Genomic DNA, 8,035 nt, shown 5'->3' on the forward strand with positions numbered 1-8,035 from the left:
AAAGAAATAAAATAAGAGGCTGGGCGCAGTGGCTCATGCCTGTAATCCCAGCACTTTGGGAGGCAGAGGCGGGTGGATCACGAGGTCAGGAGTTCGAGACCAGCCTGGCCAACATGGTGCAACCCCGTTTCTACTAAAAAAAAAAAAAATACAAAAATTAGCCATGCGTGGTGGCACATGCCTGTAAACTCAGCTACTCGGGAGGCTGAGGTGGAGAATTGCTTAAACCCAGGAGGTGGAGGTTGCAGTGAGCCAAGATTGTGCCACTGCACTCCAGCCTGGGCAACACAGCGAGACTCTGTTTCAAAAAAAAAAAAAGGGCCAGGCACGGTGGCTCACGCCTGTAATCCCAGTACTTTGGGAGGCCGAGGCGGGTGGATCACAAGGTCAGGCGATGGAGACCATCCTGGCTAACACGGTGAAACCCCGACTCTACCAAAAATACAAAAAATTAGCCAGGCGTGGCGGCACGCGCCTGTAGTCCCAGCTACTCAGGAGGCTGAGGCAGGAGAATTGCTTGAACAGGGGAGGCGGAGGTTGCAGTGAGCTGAGATTGCACCACTGCACTCCAGCCGGGGTGACAGAGCAACACGCTCGGCCAACCAGGGATGTTTTTAAAAGTCACATGCAGCTGCATGGTTCCTAAAGTGAGTCCAGTTTGATGAACCAGCTATAAATATACTCAGTTGGAGAAATTTGAATATGGAGTTGGTAGGAGATATGATTAAGGAAGTCATTGCAGTTATTAGGTGTGATAATTGAGTGGTGGTTATGCATGAAAAAGTCTCTATTTTTAAAAATACACATTGAAATACTTGGGCTGAAATGTGCATGGGATTAGAAGGAGGCAATATGGCAAAAATATTAAATGTTAAATTAAGTGAGGAAAATATGGGTGCTAACCATACTGTTCTTTTCATTTTTTGTATATTTTCACAATAAAAGTAGAAGAAGGCCAGGGAAAGTAGCTCATGCCTGTAATCCTAGCACCTTGGGAGGCTGAGGATGGCAGATCACCTGAGGTCAGGAGCTGGAGACCAGCTTGGCCAACATGGTGAAACCCCATCTCTGCCAAAAAATACAAAAATTATCCAGGCGTGGTGGCACACACCAGTAGCCCCAGCTACTCGGGAGACCTAGGTGAAGGAATAGCTTGAACCCAGAAGTCAAAGGCTGCACTGAGTCAAGATCATGCCGCTGTACTCCAGCCTGGGCAACAGAGTGAGACTCTGGCTCTGTCTCAAAAACAAACAGAAAGTAAAACAAACAAACAAAACCCAACAAAATGTTTATTGATTAAATAAAGAGGAGAGGCCTGGGCACGATGGCTCATGCCCGTAATGCCAGCACTTTGGGAAGCCGAGGCGGGTGGATCATGAGGTCAGGAGTTCAAGACCAGCCTGACCAACATGGTGAAACCCCGTCTCTACTAAAAATACAGAAATTAGCTGGGCATAGTGGTGTGCACCTGTAATCCCAGCTGCTCGGGAGGCTGAGGCAGGAGAATCACTTGAACCTGGGAGGCAGAGGTTGCAGTGAGCCAAGATCGCACCACTGCACTACAGCCTGGGCGATAGAGTGACACTCTGTCTCAAAAAAAAAAAAAAAAAAAAAAAAAAAAAAAAAAAAAAAAGGAGAAACAGACTAAGCCCAGTGTAATCCCAGGACTTTGGGAGGCTGAGGCAGGAGGATCACTTGAGCCTAGGAGTTTGAAACCAGCCTGGCAATTTGGCAAAACCCCATCTCTAAGCTAAATACAAAAGTTAGCCAGGTGTGGTGGCATGTTCCTGTGGTTCCAGCTACTCAGGAGGCTGAGATGGGAGGATCACTTGAGCCTGGGAGGTTGAGGCTGCAGTGAGCAGTAACTGCACGACTGCAGTCCAGCCTAGACGACAGAGTGAGAAATTGTCTCAAAAAATTTAAAAAAAAACAAAAACCAGGAGAAACTTCTGATTATAACAGTTTCAAAAATAAGGACTAAATCAAAAGGCTTGAGAGCACAAATTTTATCTAAATAATTTAATTTGTCCTTTTTCCTTGGTTTTCTGTACAACACTTTATCAGCCTGACAATATGGAGGGCACCAATTCTAAGAAAACACTGATTTATTTCTTTTTCATGATACTAATCCTTTGTGCTTATAAACTGGCAAAGCCTATATGATGCGGTAATCGTTTGAACTCGGATAAAAATCACCCAATTTAAGATAAATATTAAATGTTTAAATGAATGACTCCATTAGAAAGTGTAAACTTATCTAAATAAAACATCTTTAACATATAAAAATTATGACTTTTATGAGGAATCCTAGTTATATTTAATATATTGAATACCTAATCAAAATTTAGTTTATTTTATTAAGCCTCCCATGTAGCTGAGACCAGAGGAACATGCCACCACATCCAGCTAATTTTTAAAAATTTTTTGTAGAGACAGAGTCTCACCATGTTGTCCAGACTGGTCTCCCACTTCTGGTCTCAAGCAGTCCTCCCAAAGTGCTGAGATTACAGGTGTGAGCCATTGTGCCCAGCCAAAAATGAGTTTAGATACACAAAGTTAGCTCACATAGAGAAAAAAGGGTGAGATATGAGGAAGTTAATTTGAAATATTGGCCGGGTGCGGTGGCTCCTGCCTGTAATCCCAGCACTTTGGGAAGCCGAGGCGGGCAGATCATGATGTCAGGAGATCAAGACCATCCTGGCCAACACGGTGAAACCCCATCTCTACTAAAAATACAAATAAATTAGCCGGGCCTGGTGGCAGGCACCTGTAGTCCCAGCTACTCAGGAGGCTGAGGCAGGAGAAAGCAGAATCGCTTGAACCCAGGAGGTGGAGGCTGCAGTGAGCCGAGGTCATGCCACTGCACTCCAGCCTGGGCGACAGAGCGAGACTCCATCTCAAAAAAAAAAAATCTGAAATATTTCTAAATTCTAAAATTTAAACCTGTAGTCACCACTGCAGCCAGTTATTCCAACTGGTGCCAGGGACTAAAAAGTTCATGTGAGGCCAGGTGCAGTGGCTCATGCCTGTTAATTCCAGCACTTTGGGAGGTTGAGGTGGACAGATCACTCGAGGCCAGGAGTTCGAGACCAGCCTGGCCAACATGGTGAAGCCCCATCTCTACTAAATATATAAAAATTAGCCGAGTGTGGTAGTGGGCACCTGTAATCCCAGCTATTCGGGAGGCTGAGGCAGGAGAATTGCTTGAACCCGGGAGGTGAAGGTTGCAGTGAGCTGAGATAGTACCACTGCAGTCTAGCCTGGGAAACAGAGTAACACTCTGTCTCAAAAAAATTAAAAAATATAATAAAAAAGTGCATGTGAAATTACATCATGGCACCTCCAAATTCTGAAAGCTTGAAAATATAATTTCTCATAATCTGTACTTTAACAAATACTTTAGATTAGTGACCTGTTAAATAAATATATATTTTGAGATACCAGTAATATCTCTGTTAAAGTTAGGTGCCTAGGCTGGGCATGGTGGCTCATCCCTGTAATTCCAGCACTTTGGGAGGCCTAGGCAGAAGGATCACTTCAGGCCAGGAGTTTGAGACCAGCTTGAGTAACACAGCAAGACCCTGACTCTATCAGAAAAAAAAAAAGTAGCTGGGTGTGGTGGTGTCTGCCTGTAGTCCCAGCTATTTGGGAGGCTGAGGCGGGAGGATCAAGGTTTCAGTGAGCTATAATTGCAACACTGTACACCAGCCTGAGTGACAGAGTGAGATCTTGTCTCAAACAAAAACAAAAACATAAAATCAGATGCCTAAATGCAAATCTACACACTTTATCTTTTTCAAAAGCACATTACTTTTTCTTCTAAAATGCTGATTCTTTCATTGTTCTATTTATGAACACATTTTAACTATGTAAATAAATCTTCAGCTAGAGTAATACTGTAATCTTTTTTTTTTTTTTTTTCAGACGGAGTTTCGCTCTTGTCACTCTCAGCTCACTGCAACCTCTACCTCCCGGGTTCAAGGGATTTTCCTGCCTTAGCCTCCCAAGTAGCTGGGATTACAGGCGCCCACCACGTCCAGCTTATTTTTGTAATTTTAGTAGAGACAGCGTTTCACCACGTTGCCCAGGCTGCTCTCGAACTGACCTCAGTTGATCCGCCCACCTCGGCCTCCCAAAGTGCTGGGATTACAGGCGTGAGCCACTGCCCCTGGCCCATTATACTATAATTTTTTTTTTTAGGTGCTGGAATTACAGGCATGAGCCACCAGACCCAGCCAATATTGTAATCTTAATTCTAACTTTCTAGAAATGTTTGTTAAATAGGAATAGCTAGGTTAACAACTTGCCTATTCTGAACATTAAGTAAACATTTTCTGGATTTTGTTTCATCCTTTCATCCAATAAATGAGCTTACAATTTTAATCCACTTATGAGAATTCAGACCTTATCCCCACAATTAAATAACTATTACTTTGATTTCTTCAGAGTATGCTAAACAAATAAAAATGATACAAAAATCCCATACACTTTTTACAACGAAATTCTGATTAAATATTAATATCAGGATAAATAATAAGGGACAACTATGGAGTAATTTCAAAAATCTCATACCTCGGTCGAGTCAGAATGTTCAATTTTCGTTTAAGTTCTTGATGTTATTATTTGTTAAGGAAGATAAGCCCTCATTTAACAATGCAAATCATAAAATTCAACTACTACTTCTCTCACTTTTGGTGTCAGAATATTATAAAGACAAAAGACCCACGGATATTTTGAGGATGACACACTTATTGAGCTTCTATTTTGTTGCAGGGGTAGGCTTTTGAAACCCAAAATTAAAGTACGGTTTTTATCCTTTCGAACATATATTCTAAGACACGATCCTGAAGTTCAACAGACTAACAAACTGAACCAAAACCATTATTGAAGCATCAGTGTTCCTGTCAAACCTTTCAACAACCACTATGTGATAAAGAGAATGCAGTATAACGAGCTGTTAACAACTTTAGAATTTGGAATAAATCTATGGATGTCCACTGTAGAATCCTTTCAACTTTTTTTTTTTTTTTTTGAGACACAGTCTCACCCTGTCGCCCAGGCTGGAGTGCAATGGTGTGATCTTGGCTCACTGCAACCTCCGCCTCCCAGGTTCAAGGGATTCTCCTGCCTCAGCCTCCTGAGTAGCTGGGATTACAAGCACGCGCCACCACGCCCGGCTAATTTTGTATTTTTAGTAGAGACGGGGTTTCACCATGTTGGCCAGGCTGACCTCCTGATCCTCATGATCCACCTGATCCTCATGATCCTCCTGACCTCATGATCCACCCGCCTCGGCCTCCCAAAGTGCTGGGATTACAGGCTTGAGCCACAGCGCCCGGCCTCAACTTTTTGTATTCTGAAAATTTTCCTCACAATGTGGAGGAAGACGACATTCTGAAAAAATAAATCGCGCTTCACAAACCTTAAAAACTGATATACTGACTGGGCGCCGTGGCGGGCGCCTGTAATCCCAGCTATTCGGGAGGCTGAGGCAGGAGAATCGCTTGAACCCGGGAGGCGGAGGTTGCAGTGAGCCGAGATCGCGCCACTGCACTCCAGCCTGGGCAACAGACTGAGACTCCATTCCCCGACCCCGTCCCCCTAAAAAAGCTAACATATCAGCCACTTTCAGTTCTCTACAAATTTTAAAAGGAAAACTACCCGAACCAAAGTTATCTATCTACCTATAAAACTCTACGAACGTAAAAAAAAACATACTAGCAAATCAAGAAAAATCTGCAATCTTGTAACTCAAGTCTAACAGAAACTTCTTTGGCGCGTTTTCCTCAAGGCGTTGCAAAGCATCTTCAGCACAGAAGCGAGCTCCGAGTGGAAGAACTCTAAAATTAATCCCCAATTTTAATCAAGCAATTAACCAATTATCTCAGCACACCCGGATTCCTTGAGGCCCCCAACTCTGCATTCTGGGACCACTAGCGTTTGCCCCGGTATAAAAACCGATCCCGCGTCTAAGCAGCCGGTATTTCATCACCTACAACTGTAACATGACGGCACAATTTGAGCGTGGCTGCGAAATATGAAACCTCACCACGACCTCAAACAGAGGGGGGCAATTAAGGGCTTGTGTACAATCTGTCAGGTGAGCAGCCTAAAATAACCCTAAACACGGCACCCGGGTGGGAGGCAGGAGTGGGTCTGGTCAGGAGACGGCCTCCCTGAGGGGAAGAGGTCTGCGCCGAGGCAGCCTGCGCGCCCCGAACCCTAGACTCTCGGTCCGCCGGCGGGTGACAGAAAGCACTTGGAATTCTGGCCCTCCTGGAACTTCCGCCCGCGCCCTCGCCCTCGCCCGGCGCTGCCCCGGCCCCACGCCTGGCGCTGCCCCGGCCCCACACCCGGGTGACAGGGCCCAGCGAGAGGAAAGGATATTCTCGGCGCGGAGCTGCTCGATGGTCTCCTCGCACTGCCGAAGCCGCTCCCGTAGCTCCGCGTCGCCGACCCCATTTTCGTCCTCCTCGTCGCCGTCGTCGTCCTTGAAGCGAGTGTGAACGGGCTTCGGAATCGACTCCTCTGGGTGGTCGAACGGCTCGAAGAGCTCTAGATCGCCAAAATACACCTCTGCGGCCATTTTGGGCTGTGGAAAAGATTCGAGAAGAGGCGGAGCCGGCCACCAGGGCTTGGGGAAGAAGGTTGGAAGGCGGCACCACTCTCTAGAGCTCTGGCCGCACGGAGCCACCCGCTAGGGTTTTCTCCAGACGCAGGCCGCGAAAGCTGCACACGGGGCGGGGCCAGTCGCTAGAGACTACAACTCCCGGAATGCAGCGGGGCCTATCGGGCTTGCGATTGCCCGGAGGACGGCATGCTGGGACGTGTGGTTTCTAAGCGACTGGTACTCATTGTCTGCATTGCATCCTGGGATTGGTGCTTTTTGAAATGTGAAGAAAGCTGGAGTAGGTCAGAATGCGCTAAAGCAATCTGGGGGCAGGGCGGGGTGGCTCACACCTGTAATACCAACTACTCGGGAGGCAGAGGTGGGAGGATCACGTGAGCCCAGGAGTTGGAGACCACCCTGGGCAACAGAGCGAGACCCAGACACTACAAAAAAATATAAAAATTAGCTGGGCGATTGTAGTCCCAAGTACTCGGCAAGCTGAGGCGGGAGGGTTTGAGCCCAAGAGGTCGAGGCTGCATTGAGCCCAGATGGCGCCACTGCACACCAGCCTGGGAGACAAAGCAAGACCCTGTCTCAAAAAGAAAAAGAAAAACAAAAACCAGTATGGGATGTTCCTGTTAGGCAACTAAGGGTGAAAAATCAGAGCACGACGCATAGCTTCTCACAGATTCTGGTGTGCGTGCCACACCAGAGAATAAGGAACTCCATAGCCTGAAAGGGAACTGAATAAAAATAAACATAAAAGAGAATAAGAAACTCCAGCTTTGCTACAGAGATGACTGTTGTAGATTAGTTTATTGAGCTTGCTTCGTTTTTAATGTAAGATTAGCTAGACTCAACTATTTGTCTGTTGAGGCTTTCTGTCATTCAATCACATTATTTACTTACACCTTCGATGGGCCAGGCACTTGTCTAGGACCTGAGTATGGTTACAAGAGTAACCACAATAGAGTAATTCCTCCTCTCACGAAGGCTGTAGTCCACAAAAAGCAACAAAAACCCCATAATTATAAATGTTCCTGTTCTTGGGTCGAGATGGTTGTTGATGGATATTGATCACACAAAGAAATGTGGGCCGGGGGCGGTGGCTCACATCTGCAACCCCAGCACTTTGGGAGGCCGAGGCAGGTGGATCACGAGGTCAGAAATTCAAGACGAGCATGACCAACATGGAGAAACCCTGTCTCTACTAAAAATACAAAAATTAGCCAGGCGTAGTGGCACACGCCTGTAATCCCAGCTACTCAGGAGGTTGAGGAAGGAGAATCGCTTGAACCCGGGAGGCAGAGGTTGCAGTGAGCCGAAATCGTGCCACTGCACTCCAGCTTGGGCGACAGAGCAAGACTCTGTCTCAAAAAAAAAAAAAAAAAAAAAAAGGTGAAAAACACAGGAAGTTATGAATAT

General features: G+C 46.0%; 1 protein-coding gene across 6 annotated transcripts in view, besides 9 other annotated features; it reads right to left on the reverse strand.

Annotated features, from left to right (window-relative positions):
* ZCCHC8 (zinc finger CCHC-type containing 8) overlaps positions 1 to 6,678 on the reverse strand; it is a 29,333-nt gene extending 22,655 nt beyond the window's left edge. For 5 of the 6 annotated variants that reach the window (NM_001350938.2, NM_001350935.2, NM_001350937.2 and 2 more), the window contains exons 1-2: positions 6,388 to 6,678; positions 4,573 to 4,615 (exon numbers count right to left, since the gene is read on the reverse strand). Coding sequence is in view for 3 of the 6 variants with exons in the window: in NM_001350935.2 (NP_001337864.1) it covers positions 4,573 to 4,615; positions 6,388 to 6,586 (242 nt within the window). In the remaining 3 variants the exon portion in view is untranslated. Of the gene's footprint in view, positions 1 to 4,572; positions 4,616 to 5,718 lie in introns of all 6 variants that reach the window. The other variant, NM_001350936.2, reaches the window with a different exon arrangement.
* Positions 5,646 to 6,337: an enhancer, noted in NCBI's record as "H3K27ac hESC enhancer chr12:122984447-122985138 (GRCh37/hg19 assembly coordinates)". NCBI's record gives its function as "activates a minimal SCP1, AML or CMV promoter by ChIP-STARR-seq in naive H9 embryonic stem cells {active_cell/tissue: H9 hESC(naive)}" and the evidence as "EXISTENCE:reporter gene assay evidence [ECO:0000049][PMID:30033119]".
* Positions 5,646 to 6,386: a biological region, named in NCBI's record as "H3K27ac hESC enhancer GRCh37_chr12:122984447-122985138".
* Positions 6,237 to 6,386: a silencer, noted in NCBI's record as "silent region_5016". NCBI's record gives its function as "represses an Ori minimal core promoter by ATAC-STARR-seq in GM12878 lymphoblastoid cells {active_cell/tissue: GM12878}" and the evidence as "EXISTENCE:reporter gene assay evidence [ECO:0000049][PMID:35858748]".
* Positions 6,338 to 7,031: an enhancer, noted in NCBI's record as "OCT4-NANOG-H3K27ac hESC enhancer chr12:122985139-122985832 (GRCh37/hg19 assembly coordinates)". NCBI's record gives its function as "activates a minimal SCP1, AML or CMV promoter by ChIP-STARR-seq in naive and primed H9 embryonic stem cells {active_cell/tissue: H9 hESC(naive and primed)}" and the evidence as "EXISTENCE:reporter gene assay evidence [ECO:0000049][PMID:30033119]".
* Positions 6,338 to 7,096: a biological region, named in NCBI's record as "OCT4-NANOG-H3K27ac hESC enhancer GRCh37_chr12:122985139-122985832".
* Positions 6,527 to 6,606: an enhancer, noted in NCBI's record as "active region_7227". NCBI's record gives its function as "activates an Ori minimal core promoter by ATAC-STARR-seq in GM12878 lymphoblastoid cells {active_cell/tissue: GM12878}" and the evidence as "EXISTENCE:reporter gene assay evidence [ECO:0000049][PMID:35858748]".
* Positions 6,807 to 6,866: an enhancer, noted in NCBI's record as "active region_7228". NCBI's record gives its function as "activates an Ori minimal core promoter by ATAC-STARR-seq in GM12878 lymphoblastoid cells {active_cell/tissue: GM12878}" and the evidence as "EXISTENCE:reporter gene assay evidence [ECO:0000049][PMID:35858748]".
* Positions 6,917 to 7,096: an enhancer, noted in NCBI's record as "active region_7229". NCBI's record gives its function as "activates an Ori minimal core promoter by ATAC-STARR-seq in GM12878 lymphoblastoid cells {active_cell/tissue: GM12878}" and the evidence as "EXISTENCE:reporter gene assay evidence [ECO:0000049][PMID:35858748]".
* Positions 7,032 to 7,723: an enhancer, noted in NCBI's record as "OCT4-NANOG-H3K27ac hESC enhancer chr12:122985833-122986524 (GRCh37/hg19 assembly coordinates)". NCBI's record gives its function as "activates a minimal SCP1, AML or CMV promoter by ChIP-STARR-seq in primed H9 embryonic stem cells {active_cell/tissue: H9 hESC(primed)}" and the evidence as "EXISTENCE:reporter gene assay evidence [ECO:0000049][PMID:30033119]".

This window comes from Homo sapiens, chromosome 12 (assembly GCF_000001405.40).
Source record: "Homo sapiens chromosome 12, GRCh38.p14 Primary Assembly".
Lineage (NCBI taxonomy): Eukaryota > Metazoa > Chordata > Mammalia > Primates > Hominidae > Homo > Homo sapiens.